Source organism: Homo sapiens, chromosome 14 (genome assembly GCF_000001405.40).
Source record: "Homo sapiens chromosome 14, GRCh38.p14 Primary Assembly".
NCBI classification, from domain to species: Eukaryota; Metazoa; Chordata; class Mammalia; order Primates; family Hominidae; genus Homo; species Homo sapiens.
Window position 1 is genome coordinate 27,213,591 of NC_000014.9, and position 22,737 is coordinate 27,236,327.

The 22,737-nt window shown below is 35.5% G+C and overlaps 1 long non-coding RNA gene across 1 annotated transcript; it reads right to left on the reverse strand.

Annotated features, from left to right (window-relative positions):
* LOC105370421 (uncharacterized) lies at nt 1-7,194 on the reverse strand. The gene is made up of 4 exons (XR_943663.3): nt 7,114-7,194; nt 6,644-6,847; nt 1,104-1,237; nt 1-86 (listed from the first exon to the last, which is right to left on the reverse strand). It is a non-coding gene; the product is annotated as an uncharacterized LOC105370421 (long non-coding RNA).
* Between the last annotated feature and the right edge of the window lie 15,543 nt (nt 7,195-22,737).

Sequence of the window (22,737 nt, forward strand, 5' to 3'; positions counted from 1 at the left end):
GTTAGCTTCTTGATGGCCAGGGGTGGTGTCTTCATCTGGAACTGGCTGGAACCTTTGTTGCATGGTCATCTGAATGTCGATGGTCTCTGGGCAAGAGGAAATAAATTTGGTTAAAAGATATAATGGGAACTTCAGCGGGTAGATACCTATGCTGTCAGGAATGTTCATTATGGAGATTTGCAGGAGAAAAAACAAAAGCTGATCCGTTCTAAGACCTATGTGTTTCCTTAAAGTCTTAGTGCAAACGACTCCATTTTGGTTTGGTTTGGTCTGTTGGGACCTAGTACATGAGCTTAGTCCAAAACAATGGCCTCCCAGAATTTTGTTAAAAAAATTCCCCCTTTTTGGTCAGGTTCTCATTAAGGTGAGAGTGTGACCAAAGCTTAGAGCCTTAGCACCACTCAGTTATCATCATTTTGGGTTTCCAGTTTTAGTACATCATTTATAGGTTATGGTGTCCTTATGGTGCACATTTCTTTCAGCTCATTATTCCAGTTGAAGAGAGACCATATGACATTCTAGAGATGGTTGTATGCAAGCATTTAAAACCTTTGAGAGAATACAGCACACCAGGGAGACTATTATTATGACTATTGGAAGGATAATACCAAGAGTTTGGAGTGTGCCTCTTACACAAGGTCCCCATAAGCCAAACCTCCTAAAGTCAAATAGATCAAAGAATAAGTTAGATAAAGAGTCTACTCACTTAAGTAAGCAGTCTCGTTGTTGATCCCCTCCCACTGAATTTCTATAATCTTCATTTGATGTATTTTTCCATAGGCCACAAGTGCCAGCAGCTGCACAGATACTTCTTTGTTCAGTCAATTCTATCATAACTTTCACAAGAGAATTTAAAATCTGTTGTGTAACTGTAGCCTTTACAGCAGAATTTTCTACAGAGCCTATCATGGGGGATACATTTCTATTCATTGCTTCTTTACTCTGAACCATGGAAAAAGGACTTGACAAATGATGCTCTTCTAAAAGAGTGAAGGCCTCCTGGCAATGTTTTCTTTAACCCATGGTGTGGGTTAAGAGGAGTGAACCAACGTTTTGTTTTTCACTGATTATGAGTCAATGTATGTACCATTAAAGTTTCTTACCTACATTGGGCCTTCGTCTTTTATCTATCAAAGTGTAAGCTTATCCATGTATAAGGCTGGCTGCAAAGTTCTTCACAAATAAGAGTACACCCCATAAGTGCACGTAACAGACCTGTTTTCCACTTCTCTTTGTCCTAGAGGCATAAGCAAGATACAATATTCAAAGATAAGAGTTTCATGATAATAGAAATCTTTATCTGTGAACTTGGGAAAAGCTGTTCACATCAAGGATGCCATCTTCTTCTTGGGAGAATTTTCCCTAGTTAGTTTTACTCTAAGGGTTCCAATGGGTGTACAGTTCCAAGAGTGTGGAGGGACTCTTCTCAGTTGTGAGATTATGAACCCAAAGTTCAAGGTCCTGAAGTTTTGTTGTAGTGTGGATGGCAAAAACAGTCTTTCTCTGATGTTCTCACAAGATTCAAAATGTAAAAAGCTTATTTATCTGTTGAAAATACACTGTAGCATAATAATCTACTGTTATAACATCAGCCCTCTTGCATGGGAAAGCTTTTATACAACCAGAATACATGCACTGAAAATGGCAATTGAATGAAATCCCTTTACAAAATGTTTAAATGGCCCTCCAGGTGACCAAATGTACCTGAAGCTTTAATTGTTTTCCCAGGACTATGGGATTAAACATTGGTTATAAACTATATTAGTAATTTGTAAGTCATCACACCAGTGTATTCAATTTGGATTATTTTATCTTTTCCATGATGAGTCATGAAATGCAAAACTTTTAATAATAAAACCTTTAAGTCTCAGGAAAGAAAAAGTGGCCATCCTGGTTCTCCATGAGTCCATGTTTAATCAACATTACACTTATATCCTCTTGAATACCACTTGTTTTTTCAAATTAGGTGCATAGCACTGATAACTGATGAGTTATCTGACTAAGTATTTTCTTGGTATTTAATGAATTTTTGTTCTACTTGTGTTAGTAGAACTTTACTTTATACAAGTAAAGTCAGTTATTTCTGGAGTTTACAATAACAACATAATAACCATAATTATAATTGGTAGCATATACTTAAACATTCAAATTTTTAAAATCCCATATGATTTTTGAACATATATTAGTGTTATTCACAAAAATATAACCTAAAGATTGAACATCATTTTGGCAATCCCACATACCTAAATATGTCAAATAATTCTGTTTACCCCTTTTCTGGATGGTTTCAGGGACACTCTGATGTACCCAAAAAGCCAGGCATTAGGAAAGACAATTTTTAAACTAAAGTTTGATTTTGGAAATCCAGATTACCATAAATTATTTATTTTGTCAAAATAATGAGTAAGAAATTTTAAAGAAGCAAAAACATTCTATAACCTTTTGCAAAACACACACACACACACACACACACACACACACACACACACACACATTCTACTGTTCTTACATACCTTACATGTAAAACTATTTCTAGTAGCCTTAATTGCATGTTATAATGGTGGTCTTAGCAATTTTAATTTTAACGTAAAACCTGGTACGTTATGTTCTGATAAGATTTGACTATTTCTAGCATAGCTAGGATTGTGGCCATCTCCATATGTCCCCAGGCCTTACTTAGCTGGAAAGTAGGCAAGTTAAATAATTTTCAAAAGCCAAGGAAGCAGTTTATGATCTTAAAACAATTAGAAAACCTAATATTTGAACACAATTTAGACCACATGTTTATATTTTGAAGACAATTGTATTTTACCAATAACCTTTAAAACTGTTTATTTCCCAAAGATTACTAAAGTCATGTGAACTAAAAGACATTACACTTTTTACTTTTCTGACAAAATATTTCATTTAAGCTTTCATTATTATTAAATTAATTAATTTAAAACTTTACAAAAGAGATAAACATTGACTTTTTCTTTTCATTTAATCAGTTTGCATAGAGAGAAAGAGGACAGAGACTGACTCATAAGAAATTCTTACCGTTTTGCCAGCATGCTAGTTTTCTGGGTTCTCTCTCCCTGAGTAGCCCTAATGACCCTGCTTGACTGTATGCAAACAAACACATTGTCATAAATTAAGAATATTCACAAATAGTTTACAAATTTTGGAGAAATTAGGCAGAGACAGAAATATGACACAAATTCTCTTTACGAGAGTATACTCAACACACTTAAAGTATCACAAAGCCTAAAATCCAAAAAGTTAGTTTAAGGATAGAAAGCTGATATACTTCATTAATTCCTCCTGGCCCAACAAAGGTAGCTTAGGAATTCTAGATAAATGGGATGAATGCTTACTTGTCAGAAATGCATAGGATACAAAATAACTATTCACAGAACCAAATAAAAGTCTTCCACTAGGAACTAGAAAATATCATGATTTTATATATACACATACACAAGCAAAGCCAGAAGAGAATAAACAACAAACATATGAAAACTTGAAGCAAACACAAAAAAACAAATAAATAGAAAGTCAACACTAAATTTTCCTACTCAATTTACCCTGGAGGCTACAGTGTTACCTAGGACCCAAAAAACCCACATAATGAATATTTTGTTCCTGTTACACAATTAATAGCCTTAAGTTCACCAATATCATCATGCATCCTGTGCAATCAAGAAATTCACTTTAGGCAAATGATCAATAAGAACTCTAGCACTGTCCATGCAAAACAGTAAACATAGTGTGCAGCAGTGCAAGCATGTATATGAAATTTTGCTCCACACTAAATCCAGCTTCGTTCTTAATTATATTTAAAAAAAAAGAATTGCCAAACTGCTGATGCATTTCTTTACAATACTTTTTTTTATTTTACTTTAATCAAGAGTAAGGGCTTTAACTATGAAAATGTTAATTAGCCAAATGTCCCCAATTCTGATTCAGGTTTTAAAGAATATCTTATTATTTAAACTCTTTCCACATATTTCTTCCCTACTTAATGATTCCTTACCACATTGTTTCATAAATAACCTTTTCAAACTTGTAATTTGAATTAACTTTTAGATAACTTCACAATTAGACAAAATTATTCTTTTTTTTCACTAATATCATAACCCTTTCTGGCATATTTTGTATACAGAATTATGTGTTAACTAGAATTTTTATTCTTAGAAACATAAAACTGTAGTGAAACCCTAAAAAGCAAGAAATGCTCAACTATCAGATATAGGCATTTATAGATAAGAACAATTCCACAATTTTAGAAAAATATTTCCCCATATCACAACCGTTTCTTAACTGGAAATGACCCAGTTGTTAAATGAGCATCAAAAATAACTTTAAGATTTTAATTTACACAAAAAGTTTACTGATAACATTTATACTCATTTCTTTCACTTTTAATAAGGGAGACATGAGACATCAATTAACATATAAAATGAACATTGGTTTAGTCTGAAAAGGCAGGACAGCTTGAAGTCGGGAGGAAGGTTGGGGCTTCCAGGTCACAGGTAGGTGTGAGACAGTTGCATTCTTTTGATTTACTGATTAGCCTTTCCAAAGGTAATAATTAGATATCCATTCATCTCAGTGAGCAGAGGAGCAGCTTTGAATAGAATGGGAGGCAGGTTTGTCCCCAGCATTCCCAGCTTGAATTTTCCCTTCACCTTAGTGATTTTCAGGGGCCAAAAATATTTTCACTTCATAAATTCTATAGTTTCATTATTTGTCAAAAGAAAGCATGCAAACCAAGATTATTTTGTCTTGGCTGGGTTTGTAGTTTTCTAACCTTCCATGCCAAACACTGACATCTCAAAATATTTAGCAAAGACAAACATAAAATCCAGACAAAATGTATGTTGACAATTCTGAAGACATTTCTATTTTTATTCCACCAATAATTTTAAAGCTAGCTTGTTTAGTAAAGTTTTACTTAACTCACGTGAACTTGAAAATTGCTTAGACTTATTTACTTAATTTATGAGTGTTCTTTAATTTATAAGCCAATGTGGTAGATACAACATATAACAATAAGTGTACATACAAATAAATGCATCTGGAAATGTATACACCCATAAACAAAGATCCAATCACTTGGAACCTTAGCCATGAGATAGCAATACAAGCTTGTCAGTTTCACTTTTTTTGCCGGAGTAGATAATCCAATGAAGGCTGTGAAACAAAATTTTGGGTAAAGCAGTCTCCATGGCAGTTTGATTTTTAAAGACCAAACCTCCCCAGACTCCAATAAGCACTGGAGCCAAACAGCACCAAAGGAGAGTGTCACATGTTAACTGGGCTCCCTGCTGAGAACCACAGCACAAAAGCCTGGATACATGCAATGCCATTCCACTTTCCCATTAGTCCATAAATTCCAGATCCCAAACAATGTTGGGGCCAAACAGTATTGCAACTCCAAGAGAAAATTCTAAGGAGGGCCTAATACAAGACCTCAGAACTTGTGCCAAGAGTGTCCTCTTTGGAGAGGTTGAGGTCTGGCAGATCCCTCAGAGCGTTGTTAAATACGGTGAGTTCTAAGTTTCTCTTCAAAGAATCAGTATGTCAGTATGTTCAGTTCTTTGTTCTCCATTTTAAAGTTTAACTTCCTTGTTCTCCTCAGTAAACAGCCTTGCCACCAATTCTTTCTTTCTTTCTTTCTTTCTTTCTTTCTTTCTTTCTTTCTTTCTTTCTTTCTTTTTTGAGATGGAGTCTCGTACTGTCACCCAGGCTGGAGCGCAGTGGCGCAATCTCAGCTCACTGCAAACTCTGCCTCCTGGGTTCACACCATTCTCCTGCCTCAGCCTCCCGAGCAGCAGGGACTATAGGCGCCCGCCACCAAGTCCAGCTAATTTTTTGTATTTTTAGTAGAGACAGGGTTTCACCATGTTAGCCAGGATGGTCTCGATCTACTGACCTCGCAATCTTCCTGCCTCAGCCTCCCAAAGTGCTGGGATTACAGGTGTGAGCCACCGTGCCTGGCGCCCCACCAGTTCTAGTCAGTAATTCACATCTCTTCACCTGGTCACCTGCTCTGTCCTGAGTCACTCCTGGTTACCTGCTCTGTCCTGAGTCACCCGGTCACCTGCTCTGACCTAACTCACCTTTAGTCACCTGTTCCATAACCATCTTTCCTGCAGAAACAGCTCACCCCGCCTCTCTGGCTTGTACCCCTGCTCTCTTTAAAATAGCCAATCGGAATTAGCTTAGACTGTGCGGTCCAGCTCTAGCCAATAGGGGAACAACACAGCAGTAGGGGCTACCCACGTCAGGGATAAGAACCCCTTCCCCTCCCTTGTTCAGGTGTGCTCTCAGCATCGCTCCATCTGTGAGTTGCACCATTCTATAGAAGTAAAATTGCCTTGCTGAGAAAATTCATGTTCCAGTGCTATTTCTTTTGCAGCACCAAAAATTTATTTCTAACAGTGTCCTCCTGTGGGGACCAATCTTAGAGTGTCAGATGTCTCTGACCTTAGGTGGGCACCAGTGCCACATGTTGGTTTCCCTCCAGTGCCTACTATGAGCTTTATAAGAATAGCCATGAACTCTAATGAGAAGAACTGGAAGCCAGGCAGGCTTTTTTGTCCTTAGCTACTTGAGTATAATAAGGGAAGAATTTAGCATAAGAAAAGAAGATGTAAGTTACCTGAAACATGTTTGAGTTTGCTCTGAGCTGCCCTGCAGGTAGGGATCAGGGATCATGCAGAAAAGATTTTTTAAAAAGTCCTTCCCCTTTTTGGGCCGGGCAATTATTCGCATTCATTCCTAGACCTTCATGCAGTACCTGGGAGTGACCCCAGCCAATTGTCCTCAATTTCCGATGAGCTACCAGGAATCAGCGTCTGAAAGACTGAAAAACAAAGAGAGGGCAAAAGAAAAATGAAAAAGGCCCAGGTCCTGTAAGCAAACCGGGCAGTGGCCGTCAGGCTTCTCCACGCGGAAACCCCTTAGTTTGACTGGCCACGCCCAGAAACCTGCAGTTGTCTCCATGTTTAGGCACTGCCCACCAAAGGTCCCGCGTTGGAAAGGAAAAGAGAGAGAGAGAGAGTGATTGCCTGTATGGAGCAGAAAGGAAAAGGAGAAAATGGAAAAATAAATCCCAAACTTTGGGCTTACCTTTTCCTCCTGGCTGGCTCACCAAAATATGTCACCGGTGGAGGGTGTCCAGGTTCTTGTCATCTTGGACAAAGAGTTGTACAAAACGCACAAACAAAGCTGGGAAGGAATGAAGAGATTTATTGAAAATGAAAGTACATTTCACAATGTGGGAGTGGGCCCAAGTGTAGGGGCTTAAGGGCCCCGCTACAGAAGTTTTGGGAGTTTAAATACCCTCTAGAAGATTCCATTGGTTACTTGGGGTATGCCCTATATAAGTGAAGAGGATGAAGTAAAGTTATAAACTCATTTATTCGGCATATGTCCTATGGAGAGGATATTTCCTGTCATAGCTGAAGTGTCAATCGACCTTCAGTTCCCTGCCTCCAGACCCTATTTTCCTGTCTCAGTAAAGAAATATGTTAAGCACTTTGCAGAAAAAAAATAGGCATCACACCATAGATTGAAATAATAATGGAGAAACAGACTGAAGATAAGCAATTGTTTGTATAAGCCAGTCAAAAATAGAAAAGTATCAATAGATCTAAGATATATTAAAACAAAAAGACAGATAAAAATTACGTTAACCATGTAGACTGCTATTTTATCTGTTAAGATTTTTTTTTTTTTTTTTTTTTTTTGGTGACAGAGTTTTGCTCTGTCGCCCAGGCTGGAGTGCAGTGGCGCGATCTCGGCTCACTGCAACCTCCGCCTCCCAGGTCCAAGCAATTCTCTGCCTCAGCCTCCTGAGTAGCTGGGACTACAGACGCCCGCCACCACGCCTGGCTAATTTTTTGTATTTTTTAGTAGAGACGGGGTTTTGTCTGTTAAGATTTTAAAAGGAGGAACAGGCCGGGTGCGGTGGCTCACACCTGTAATCGCAGCACTTTGGGAGGCTGAGGCAGGTGGATTACCTCGCAGGTGGCATAATCTCGGCTCACTGCAACCTCTACCTCCCTGGTTCAAGCGATTCTCCTGCCTCAGCCTCCCAAGTAGCTGGGATTACAGGCCGCCTGCTCCCAGGCCCAGATAATTTTTGTATTTTTAGTATGGATGGGGTTTCACTATGTTGGCCAGGCTGGTCTCAAACTCCTGATGTGTGTATATGTATAATATAGAAGATTATATATATATCTATAATATATAGAAGGTTATATATAAAACATATACGTTATATATATGTTATATATATTATATATATAACATATAGAGAGTGGTACAATTAAAAGAAAAAACTTTAACGAATGGATAAATTCAAGTGATTCAAGTGGATTCTGAGCTCTTTGACAAATACTATTGGGAAGATAACAAATAGATATTTTTTGCTTCATTGTTCTACAGTTGGCCCCTTCAACATTTTTGTTACAATTTTGAAGGAGCATGGAAAGCATGTTTATAGAATTTGATAATGATACATCTCAAAAATCATGCTAATGAACTGAAATACTGAATTCTTCGTATAAATAAATTCTGAATGGCTGCAGTGAAATCAAGCAAGGATAAATCCAAATTTTTTTTTCAGGTAACTCAAAATTCAAACTATATAATAGAAGCATATTGAGCATATATATGGGATATTTAATTCTACTCTGCTTGACATAGGCCACAGATGAAGAAGGTGTCATTTATCTAGCAAATATTTGTTAACTGCCTGCTATGGGCCAGGAACTTTGTCTACTAAAAATCTGTCAAAAAAAATAAGAAGAAGAAGTCTTAAGTCTACAGAAGGAAGAAATCTATACAAAATTTCAAATATTTTAGTAGCTGTCATTCAGAAGAGAGATTATACTATTCTGTTTACTGCTACAAGAGCCAGTGGGTGAAGGCACAAAAAGTATTTCATATAAAGATATACTTTCTATTCATTAAAACTGCTCATCAACGGAGTGGATACTTGGTGAGGTTTCGGCCCCACCTCCTCATCAAAGAGATCAGATTCTTATCTGGTGTGGATGTTGATTTGGTGTGGATACCGATCTAGTGTGGAAGATGCTGCTTTGAGATTTTGACAAGATGATCTTTATTATTCCTTCCTAGATTCTATAGTTTCATTACTCTTAACAGTCACGTACTGAAATGTATAGCACGAATGTTTTCACTGCTTTAAAAATATTGGCTCAAGTCTAGTAGAAAATTGGAGACACAGTGTAACTTAGATGAATATAGCAAGTTTAAGGAACTTGGGTTTCAATTTCTTTAAAAAAGGAGTTGTGAGAAATAAAGCAAGCAGTTGCATAAGAGTATTAAAATTGGCATAGCATTATACAACACTGAAGTGTCATTGTCATGTTTTGTTTTTGCTTCAAGATGTGCATTTAAAGAATGATACATATTAGACTAGGCTCAAGATACAAGATTTTCAATTTATACATTTTCTCAAGAAAATACTGTATGTCTGCATGTGAGTCTGTAGAGACATGAATAAGTTGCTTTAGTTAAGAAAAAATCTGCCATACGAATTGAGTTAGATGTATGATTTTGATTCCCTGCAGGATAGAAAAGTTGCTATCATTAGTATTAAAAACCCATCAACACCCAGCATGTTGCTGAGGCTGTGGTTGGAAATGCTAAGTGATACTGACACACAAATATTTTTGGGGTCATTTGCAGAAAGATTGTAGTCAGAACTAGATAGTTTTAGACTTACTAAACAGAAAAAGAATTAAGAAAAACAAAATAGTTCAGTTTACATGCATTTACAGAGGTATAGTCCCATTTGAAGGTCGTAGATAGTTACAGAATTGACACTAACTCTACCCTTGCACCCCCTGCCCTGTCATGCCACACACAAACAGTACAGAAGAGACATAATGTATGTTAGCTGTTTATTCTTCTAAAAGTTTAGCCAATTGAGTCCATAGAGATTTTGGCTTAAAGGGTTACGTGAACCTTGCTTCTCTAATTCTTATCTCTCAAAGTGACCTAATCTGGAAAACTAGAGTAAAAAAAGAAATATTGGAAGAGAGAGCATAGAAAATTTGAGCAATAATTCCACTTTAATTAGGAAAGTTTATATTTGAAATAGAAAATCCAATGGGAGAATGCAATTCAGTCTATAACAGTTTATTTTATTTTTAAGACCATACATTAAAGTTGTAACTCCTTTACAAAACATACCGATAGTGACTTAATTAATTTAATCCTAGATCTTTTAAAGGTAAGATTCTTAGAATAACATTTTGGATAATTTAACATAATTTGTTAACATCTTATCTCTATACTTTCCTTCCCAATTTTCCAGATCCCAAACTGCCTGTATCTCTCCTTGTTATGCCTCATTCATAAAAAGATTAGGGGAGCTAAATGGAGCACATTTTTGAAATCACTAACTGCCAACACCAATAAATAGTATTTATTACCCAGAAATGCAGAATAACAACTTCCTTACTTGTGTTCATTTATTTGGAGACAAGAATAGCAAGTACTTGCCAAGCAACTTAATGTCTTTAAAGTTTGGAATTGAGGATTTATGACTGTACTTCTTAAGTTTCAAGCCATAAATGCTATTTATTTTGACAATCAAAAACTTTACAAATAAAAGGAATAAAGAAAAGCTCTAAATAGCTTAGCAGTAAATTCATCAGCTTAGCTTCTCATCCCAAAGAGACTTAGACTCCCATACAATAATAATGGGAGACTTTAACACCCCACTGTCAACATTAGACAGATCAACGAGACAGAAAGTTAACAAGGATATCCAGGAATTGAACTCAGCTCTGCACCAAGCGGACACCTAATAGACATCTACAGAACTCTCCACCCCAAATCAACAGAATATACATTCTTTTTAGCACCACATCACACTTATTCCAAAATTGACCACATACTTGGAAGTAAAGCACTCCTCAGCAAATGTGAAAAAACAGAAATTATAACAAACTGTCTCAGACCACAGTGCAATCAAACTAGAACTCAGGATTAAGCAACTCACTCAAAACCACTCAACTACATGGAAACTGAACAACCTGCTCCTGAATGACTACTGGGTACATAAGGAAATGAAGGCAGAAATAAAGATGTTCTTTGAAACCAACGAGAACAAAGACACAACATACCAGAATCTCTGGGACACATTTAAAGCAGTGTGTAGAGGGAAATTTATAGCACTAAATGCCCACAAGAGAAAGCAGGAAAGATCTAAAATTGACACCCTAACATCACAATTAAAAGAACTAGAGAAGCAAGAGCAAACACATTCAAAACCTAGCAGAAGGCAAGAAATAACTAAGATCAGAGAAGAACTGAAGGAGATAGAGACACAAAAAACCCTTCAAAAAATTAATGAATCCAGGAGCTGGTTTTTGAAAAGATCAACAAAATTGATAGACCGCTAGCAAGACTAATAAAGAAGAAAAGAGAGAAGAATCAAATAGACGCAATAAAAAATGATAAAGGGGATATCACCACCGATCCCACAGAAATACAATCTACCATCAGAGAATACTATAAACACCTCTACGCAAATAAACTAGAAGATCTAGAAGAAATGGATAAATTCCTCGATACATACACCCTCCCAAGACTAAACCAGGAAGAAGTTGAATCCCTGAATAGACCAATAACAGGCTCTGAAATTGAGGCAATAATTAATAGCCTATCAATCAAAACAAGTCCAGGACCAGACGGATTCACAGCCGAAATCTACCAGAGGTACAAGGAGGAGCTGGTACCATACCTTCTGAAACTATTCCAATCAATAGAAAAAGAGGGAATCCTCCCTAACTCATTTTATGAGGCCAGAATCATCCTGATCTCATTCTCTTTTCCACTCTAAGCTAAGCCAGTAGCATCACAGTTGCCACATTGTAAATGAAGAGAATAAAGAAAAAGACAAGCTAAAATGAATATGTGAGATATATACATATATTCCAATTTCTGTCTTCTGTTTCTTCTGTTGTCTAAAGGAGTGTTTTTTTTCTCAGTCATAAATGTGCATAGGAATCACCTGGGGATTCTGTTAAAAGATAGATTCTTATTCAGTAAGTCTAGGTGGGGGCCTGGGAATTGCATTTCTAATTAACTCCCATGTTATGCGGATGTTGCTGGGCCCAGGCTACACTTATAAGAATCGGCAATCTCAATTTATTTTTCTCTTGATGTCTTTTTAACATCATAGTTTAAGTTGTTTTCATTTGAGACTCTCACAATTGGACAGTTTATCTTGCTAATTCCACATTAGATAGATTTAGATAGACTTATTTATCTTATTGTAAAAAGTGATCCAAAATTAAAATTTTTGATGCTCTAATTATAGCATTGATTGAGTGAGGCGGAGAGTATGATAGAAGATGATGGTTATTGTGGGTAAAACCTGTAAGTGGATGGATCATAAAGACTGAAGGAAGTTCTACAGTAGACTGTGAAAGTGAGGGACGCTGATGAGTTTCAGCTCTTTTCCTCTTTTGGGTATCAGTTCAATATAAATAGCTCTGGATTATGTTTGTTGAGCAATTACTCTTCTCCATATTCTAGAATAACACTTTTAAGAATATTTGCTTTTAAATATCTTTATTTACATAAAAGTTTATGATACCCATTGTACAGTTAAAAAAAGATCATTTACCCCATTTAAAAGATGAGTATTAAATGAGTCCGTAAAAGGTTAAATACTTTGCAACTCAATTTTTGAGCCTGGCCTTATTCTAATAATAAAACCAGATAAAAGAGAGCAGAAAAACATAAGGCCAATGTCTTTCATAAACCTAGATACAAAAATGATCAACAAAACATTAGCAAATCAAATCCAGTAGTGTATAGAAGAAACAATACACTGGAATGGAGTGAAATTTATTCCAGGTATGCAAGACTGGTATAACATGTGAAAATCAATAAATATAGTCAACCATATCAATGGGATAAAGGAGAAAATTGCATAATTATATCAACTGATTAAGAAAAAGCATTTGACACAAACCAATACTATTAATATAAAAACTAGCAGCAAACCAGGAATAGAGGGAAACTTTCTGAATTTGATAAAGACATCTACAAAAAAAGCCTACAGCTCACATCTTACTTAATGGTGAAAGACTGAATGCCTTCTCTCTAATATTGTTAAAACTACAAGGATGGCCATGCTCACTATCCTTATTCATCATAGTACTGAAAGTTCTAGCATGTACAATAAGCCAAGGAAATGAAATAAAATTATACAGATTGGAAAGAAAAAAAAAAACTGTTCCTATTTGCAGATGACATGATTTTCTACGTTGAAACTCTCAAGGAATATACTCTTCCGAAACACTTAAAAAGACCAACACTGTTTTTCTAACTCTGATTTTATGCCATTAATATTGAAAAGGCCTTTCTCTGGCTTAATTTCAGTTATTTTTCATTTGAGCATGCCAAAGTTGGTTCTTCCTCACCAAGTAATTTTTTTCCCCCAAATTACTAGGTCTGTGGGTTTTTCCCCTTGTTTTCTCTGTTTTAGGCATATAGAATCACATCTGCTTAACTCAGGGATTGCTGAGATTTCATGGGGATTTGGGGAGTAGGAGGCATCTTGGCATGGAGATCATTATTACTTTTTGATCCACCTCCGGTAAGCATTTTGACAATTCCTCCCACACCTTTTACTAAAAGTTTTCTCCTCAGGCTAATTGACTGTTAAGGAAGATAAGTAAGGCTTTTAAACATCCACATCTTCTCAGTATACATGATTTATGTCACCCTCTTAAAAAACAGAATTTAAGCAGCAGTTGTCCTGTTTTTTTCCTCTGTCACATCTGAAAGTGGGTTTGTAGAGTGGATTGGGAAACAGATGGAATTTTTTACTTGAGTTCTTTGAGACTCAGTAGTAAACTGCTAAAGTTGAAGATATGGAAATAGAAGGAGGGCCAGTTTTATATGTAACTAATGTATACTTTGATTTTATTTGAAAACATATTTTTATTTTAAAACAGAGTTAACAGCATAAATATTATTTTTCTGTAAATTTTATTTGTGGATTAAGAGCTTGGTAGATTAAGAGTCTACAAGCATAACATCTAATATCTGAAACAGCTTTTGAGGCATCTTCAACACAACACTTTTAAGGTCATAAATTACACCCTTTAGATTTCCTTGCTGAATAAATAAATGAATAATGGTAAGTTCATCTAATTAGATTTCTTCCAAATTTGCTCCAGAAATAGCTAGTCATTATTTAGAAATGAAGTAGAATCTGTAGAGTAGAATGTAGAGTATTGTTTTACACAGTTCTGTCCCATGGTGATTGTTACAAGATGAACCAAGAAGTGAATGAGTGGCTCCCAGAAGGAAAAGCATTGTGCGCTCATGGTTATCTGAGCCAGTTGTTTGAAAACAAACATTTTATGAATATAAATAATTCAGTTAATTCCAGAGAAAACCCATTATCCTATAAAGTCTCTCAAAGATGTTCTTTCTGTTAAGTTACACTAGTTACTGTTACTGTTTAAACATCAATGGTCTTTTACAATGACATTCAAATGCTTTTCCTAATTTCTCAAAATGCAGGTTATAGTCTTCATCATCCCAAGAGCTGACTTTCTCAAACACAGACCTGACTATGTTATCCCCTTTAAAAATGACTCATTATGTCTCAGTATCAGTGACTGTGCCATGGATTACATTTGCACTGTGGATTGCTCACTTATTCAGCAACATAGGAACTGTGTATCAAACCAGGGCAATTGTACCTATTCCAGAAATGGCAATTTCACTTAAGGACTGGGTAAACTTTTTAAATAAAATACTGATTTATTAAAGAATAGCATAGAATGCCACATGAATTTTATAATAAAACATGAAACATCAAAGCAATATCATGCTTATAAAATCAATCATCTTTGGATTTTGAGTTCAAACACCTTATCATACCATATAATTATCTTCACAACTGGACACCAGCTAACATGATATCCTGTAACTCCTTGGTACTTACATTCTTATGAGATATCTCTCATGGACTACTAGTAGCATTTCTTAAACAGTCATAATTTTCATGCATCTCTAACTTCTCTCATGTTGTCGTCTCTGCCTAGAATATCATTTCCCAACCTTTCTGAATTCTGAATTGCTGTACACTCTTAAAGTTTACAAATTCATCCAAACCACATACATGTATTATTTCTTCCTCTGTATCTAAAATATTTAATACATCTGAGTATATTTTATATTGTATTAGGCTTATTTATGTATTTACTTTTTACTAGTTATGAAATCCTGGAAGTAAAATGATGTGTCCTATTCATGTTTTGTCCCTCCATTGTTAAAAAATAAGGCCACGAATCAAATACTTTGACAATTCTCCCTCCAAAGAGTGAGCTTAGATCCCCTTCCCTTGAGTGTGTGCTGTGCTTTATGAGTGTCCTCTAACAAATAGAAAGTTGTGAAAATGACAGATGTAAATTCCAATAATCAGTCGTAATACAAATTTTAGTACCTGGACGTGGTTTGCTGTGTTGCCGTGACGGAAATGTAAACTCCGGAGCCACTTTGGAATTAGACAATGGACAAAAACCAGTAGATCTTTGCAAATAAAATTAATAAAGGCTTTAAGAACCTTAAGGAAACTCTATATAAAAGACTGATGGAAATTTAGATGGCTATGCATGAGGGCTGAAAATAAAGTTATCAAAATCTTATGAGATCATGGAAGTAAGGGATTCTTTGATGTAGTAGCAAAAAGTTTAGCAACAATGATGCATGCAAAAAGTTAAGAAATAGAAATTATACCTAGTTAACTGAGATATATAGCCATGGAGCTTTCCAGACCAAATGGTGAATATGCCACCTGGTTTCTTCTTGATGCTTATATTAAAATGTGAGAAAAAAAATAAAGTAAGTATCCTTAAACACAAAGGACCAATGACTTAATTGCTTTGAAAATTCTCAACCTTTACAGATGGCAAACATTGCCAGGACAACATGCTGTAAGGATGAAATCAAATTTGGGACTGTAAAATCTTTGCCAGCACCTCATAAAGATCTATGGTGGTGTCTCAGAGCACCATCCAGTAGGAAAAAAATAAAAATAAAACTTTTCTAAAGATTTTAAGGGTGTTTCTCATAATTCTCCTAAATAAAATAGTAGAGTTACTGAGAAGTTTAAGGAAACTACCTCCTAACAAAAGTCTAAAGTACCAAAGGGCGTATATTAAAGAGATTTGTTGGTGTTACTTTTAGCATATGAAGGTTAACAGGAAAGCCAGATTAAAAACAATTATATTAATGGAGACAATGCCAGCTTGAACCAAAATGGGCAATCTAAATGACAGTATTTTTGCTAATGTAATTTTCACCCTCAAAGTTCTTGCTTGCTTTGAATAAGCTACTAGCACATTGTAAAGACATTCCCATTACTATATAAAGTTCACGTTTTGAGGAATCAAGATTGCCTAAAAATAGCCACTGAGGAACTGAAGCCTCCAGCCACCAACTATGTGATTGAGCCAATCTGGTAATAGATCATTTAGTCCAGATAAGCTTCAATGTTATTACTGAAACTCCAGCTAGCATTTTGACTTCATGAAAGACTCAAACCAGAACCACCCAGTTATCAGTTATCAGCAAATATCAGTTGCTTTGATATTTATGACTTTGAGAAACAGTGCTATAAAAAAATTGTTATTTTATGCCATTAAGTTTGAGTTAATTTGTTACACAGCAAGAGATAACAAATACAATTCCTCTTGTCATCTACTATGCTGTTTGGTACATTGTTATCACTTACTAAATATTTGTTGGCAGAAAGAAGTTGAAGAGACAGTAGGTGGAAGGCAGAAATGAAACTGTGTAAAGAAATTACATTTTAACTACTTCAAAATTCTATTGATGAAAACGCATCAATTCTATTTTAAAATTCAGTTGGTTTTAAATGTAAAAATGTTTGAATTTATGTGACGTATTAAGACAAAGATGATGCACACTAACATTTTTCGACTATTTCTACATATCACATAGACACTCTACTATGACCTTAACAAATTCTGTTATTTAATATTAACAAAAATTCTGAAAGTTTGATATCCCCAATTTACGTATAAGAAAACAGCTTCAATGATATAAAATAACTTGCCAAGATTTACTTATCCAGTATATGGCAGAGTCAGAATCTTATTCCACATCTATCTGATTCTAATGTTTCTGTGCATGGGGCTCACTATCACATGTGTTCTAAGCCACAGTTCAGTAGGCTTAGAACTCAGTATTATGAAAATCTCCATCAGAAACAGCATAGTAAATCATTGTCTCTGATACTAAAACTAGACAATTCTAACTTTCCCTATCTTCAAACTTCAGATGGCTTTTCAACTTTGCTTTTTTCTTTTTTCTTCTTTCTTTCTTTTACAAAATATAAATTAATTATCTCTAGAATATTTTATACTTCAGTAATATATTCTGTGTACAAATAATAAGTGGAAAAATCAGATCATTTATTGACTAGAATTGGAAGATCCTTTATTGAAAATAACACTCACTGTTTGATATGGTTTGGCAGTGTCCCCACCCAAATCTCATCTTGAGTTGTAGCTCCCATAATTCCCATATGTTGTGGGAGGCACCTGGTGGGAGATAATTGAATCACGGAGGTGGGTCTTTCCCATGCTAGTCTCATGATAGTGAATAAGTCTCATGAGATCTGATGGTTTTATAAAGGGGAGTTTCTCTGCACAAACTCTCTTCTCTCATCTGTTGCCATGTGAGACGTGCCTTTCACCTTCTGCCATGATTATGAGGCCTCCTCAGCCACGTGGAACTGTGAGTCCATTAAACCTCTTTCTTTTGTAAATTGCTCAGTCTCAGATATGTCTTTGTCAGCAGTATGAAAACAGACTAATACACTGTTATTTATGATGTTAGTACTGAGAATAAGGGTGTTGAATTTGTTGTAATGCACATAGGAAGCAATCTGAGGATAATTCAAAGTAGCACAGAAGACAGAGGAAATCAGAATAAATAGGCGATCTATCACTGTGGGTATGCTGGACAGTTTATGAAGATCATAAAATACATATATTCAAACTGAAAAATAAAAGATCATTCTGAAGCCAGGAAGGCATTAAAAACAAAAGTCAAGATAGAGCAGTTAGCAGGCTTGGTAACTACAAGAGAACATCATGTTGAAGAGAGATGAGGTAAAAGGGATGTGGTAACCAAGATCCTTTCAACAGGTTAATTAGGTCCCAAGATTAACTCAGTACTACCTATGAATTTGCAAAAGGCAGACTGTAACTACAGGCTTCACTTAGGATCTTGTGGCAGCATTCCAGAAAAGAAGACTGAGACCCCAAATTAGGGAGTTTTTGTTAAGAAACCAAACAAATGGTGAATCTCACCAATATTGGGAAGGTAACAATAGAGAACCTGTATAAATTCAGAAACAAAAAATACCACCAAAATATATCGCTTAAGTAGATTACTAAATCAGACCACTCCTAACAATATTTGGCAAGTGGAATGAGAAATCGTTTTAGCAATAATATTAGTATTATATAAAACAGACTGTCATCAAAATTCAAAAAATCTCAGTGTCTTTTTAAAGAAGCTTATTTTTACAGATCTACAGTGTAATACGAATGTTCCTAGTCTGGCATCTCTCCAGAGCTGCTGTGCTTTATGTGGTGTCTCAGGAATCCAGGTTTCTTTGCTATCTAGTCTACATTGAGACTCAGTAGTCTGTGTATTTTGTCATGTGACTACTCCATACGGTAAGGCCTCGAGGTCCTTTCCTTCCAGCTGCATGGGTGGGTAAAAAGTGACATGAGGGTTTCTGTGAGAAAATTTAGCGTCAGATCCCCATATGGCATAAATCACTTTCACTCCTCTTGCACTGGCCAATCAGGAGACCAGAAAATAGGAAGCGAATTAGAAAATTCCAACTTCATAACTACAAGCATAGGAACTGGGAAATGTAGTTATGCCCAGGAAGAAGAGGAAACAAGATATTGATGAATATGAGCAGTCTTTGTTAGAGATACCAAATATAAAAGTTTAAGGGAGATACAGATAAGAGTAGACGTCTATAATTCAGAGACTGCAAGCAGATTAGCCACATTAAAACATTTCTTCTTTGTCAGAGATTATATTTGCAAATATTTGTACTTGTAGGTCTCCTTAGAACTTAATGAACATAACCAGGCATGGTGGCTCACGCCTGTAATCCCAGCACTTTGGGAGGCTGAGGTGGGCAAATCACCTGAGGTCAGGAGTTTGAGACCAGCCTGGCCAATATGGTGAAACCCCATTTCTATTAAAAATACAAAAATTAGCCAGGCATGGTGGTGGGCGCCTGTAATCCCAGCTACTTGGGGATCTGAGGCAGGAGGATCACTCCAATCTGGGAGGCAGAGGGTGCAGTGAGCCAAGATGGTGCCATTGCACTCCAGCTTGGGCGACTAAGCGAGAGTCCGTCTCAAAAAAAAAAAAAAAAAAGAACTTAATGAACATGTTACGGACTGAAGTTAATATAGAGAACCACTCAATTTGTGACCACACATCGTTAACAATGATTGTTCTGGTCCAATTGCTAATCCAGTGTTAATTCATTTCTTACTTTGCCCTGATATTATTCACTAACTTAAATATTGGAGTTTTTTGGATTTATTATTTTCTTCTTACTTGATTAGTTTCTCGTATGTTTAGTCCTTCATTGTATAGCACAAAATTTGTATTAGATGAAATTTTTTTTCTATAGTCCTGTGTACTTTCAGAGTCTCTAAACAATTATGGAGTTTATCTCTAGCATTTATAATTTTGTGCTTTAAATGTCAGCCTCAGGAACATTGTACACATTTGCTCATTCACTGAAAAGCATAATCATTTTACTTTTTGAGCCTGTATTAAAGTCACAGTTGTGTGGTTTTGTGTGGGTATGTGTTTTTTATGGAGTTTTTAGAAATATATTTCCTAAGTTTGAAAAGTTATCTTAGGTCACCCCATTGAATTCTGATGATGTGATTCCTGATTGTGTGATTCTGGCCAGTGAAATTGTGAAAGCATGTTGATGATGCTGAAACAGGAAAAATAATCACTTCTATTCCTAAAGCCCTGAGATTGTTACTTTGTCCTTCTCCTGACTGTTATGACTCCATGATTTGCACTTGAGCTGTTCTCACTGTGGAGAGAGTTCTGGATTCCCTTAAGTCTAATAAAGTCCAATTAAGCACTGCTAGTTCCTGAGCTGCATACCCCAAGGGCACATGTTAATGATGAGTTTCAAATGGTGTCCTGTTACAGGCTTATAAAGTGCCAGCCACCTTAGCACTTCATTTTAAAAATGAGTGATAATTGGTAAGACTTTAATTTTTCTATTTAAAAGGTAAGGAAGTACAGATTCAGGGAACTTCAGGGACTTCATCAAGGTTACGGAGACAAGCCATACTTAGAACTTCTTAGATTCTGAACAGGTTAAATCACTGAAAGAAGAGCTAGAACCCATTTCAGCATGGCCCACTTTATTTGGAGATATATATATATTCTTACTTGATTAGACAAATATACATACACATATATGTGTATGTACATATATGTGTGTGTATATATATATATATGTATGTATGTATGAGATATTTGGATTTGGATTTAGGGAAGAGTATACTTCAAGTTTTAGCTTCATTAATAAAGACTGAGAATTGTCCAGATTTTTATGGAATGAAGGTCACAAAAATACTGACAGAAATTAACTTTATATAATGGAAGAGTGCATCGAAATTTGGGGCCTGGTGCTATGATTTGTAGTGATCATTCTTGTTTTTTAAAGAATCTTAAATTATAAGGTTCTCCAGGAGAAAGAGTAAAACTATGTGGTCACCATCATCCCATTCTTGGAAATGAAATTTGCAGCTTGTACATCTGACACCTCACGCCCTTCTACCACACCCTGCCTCTAAGGGTCCTTTTTCATGTGTGCAATAATACATGAATGTGCCCAACATTACAACAGCCAACCTCTTCTATGTCCCAAGTGACTAAATCCTCCTTTGGCACAATTCTTGTTTAAGCGTAGGAGGAAAATGTCCTCGTGATTGCTTTTTTCTTATACAGTCTAAAGCTGCTTATCACTTATATAGGCATCATAAGTTTATATAGAAAAACATGGAAATATTACAGGAAGATTTTCAGACTCAAAATACTCAGGGATAGAAAGGGGCCTTAAAATATATCCCACAAAATGACTAACATATGTACATAGTTTTTATGTAAAATAGAGTTAGCTAGATGCCTATCTTTTGAAAAAGAGAAACTTCTAAAAAACACAATCTATTTAAATAAAAACATCATAAGGAATAGTGTAATTTAAGTTGGAAGGAGTGTATGTCTGATAATAATATGGTAATTAGAAGAGGAACTCTCCAAATAAACTAACCCATGGATAGTGCAGAAACACAGAAACACTGACATAATGAGAAATGAAACAGTACAGCAGAGATTAGACAAAGCTATTAACTCCTAAACACACACACACACACACACCACACATGCATGCATACACACACAGTAATGGAGCTTAGTCAAGAATCATCAATGTGAAAGTACCTACTGGTGATCTCATAAGTATATTGTTCATGCACAAATTTTAGTTTTTTCCCTAGGATGGTAAGTATGTGTTATCTGCATCCTACAGTTCACACAGTGCCAAATCCAGCTGTGTTTAGGAAGTAAAATAGACACTGAGGCACTTCCTGATGGACCTTCCCTGGTAGACCAAGTTCCATCAGCTTTTTTTGAAGTTTCAGAACAGTAATGGTAGACCCTCAGAATCACCCTTCTGCCACATCAAGATAAATAATAGATGATGCAAGTTAAAAGTTTAAAGAATGAATTTGCCCTACTATACAATTTTAGGGACGTCTTAAGGTGGTTTGGAACTCTTAATTATTTCTGTGATAATTCAACTTTTCCAACTGGTGTTTTCCATATACAACTGGAGTAGATATATTTTAACAAAAGCTAAATGGGTAAGACATTAAATAAATTTGTGGTATATTTTTATATATTTTTTCACACCAAAATTTCAATTTATCTTAAATACATAGTTTGTTGAGGTTTTTTCTTTTTATTCAACCCTTTTAGGTAATATTTCCTAATACAGTAATATTTTTAAAGATATTTCTTTTGCTATTTTTATGTTACTTTATATAAGACATACTATTTGTTAAAATAGAAAATTTGAATTATTTTAGAATTTCACCCTGGAAAGTATTTTGTGAGATATTAATAATTTAAACTATAAAATTCTGTCTTTAGAACAAGTATTCCTTATGGTTCATTTACATGGTAGTGGAAGAAAAAGTATCCTCTGCTAGACAAAATATATATGACTTATTCCAATTTAGAAGCTTTAGGACCTTCTACAATTTATTGACTACAGTGAATTCATAATGATCAGTGTACAGAGGACATCAATACTAAAATTAAGCAATTTATCTGTTAATAAAAGTTAAGGAAAAAATGACACTTAGGATGACTCTAAGGTAGTATGAGTACTGCTTGAATCTTTGAAAATTAAGCAATACTGAGAAAGTAAATATAATTAGGGGATTAAATGAGAAATTTTAAAATATAAAAAGAACAGGGCTGTGAAAAAATTTTCGTTGCCTTACTCTATTGTTGGCTCTTAAACTTTGGTTCCTGTTTTATGCTGTGCATTTTACCACAACAGTCAGCGAACAGGATTCATAT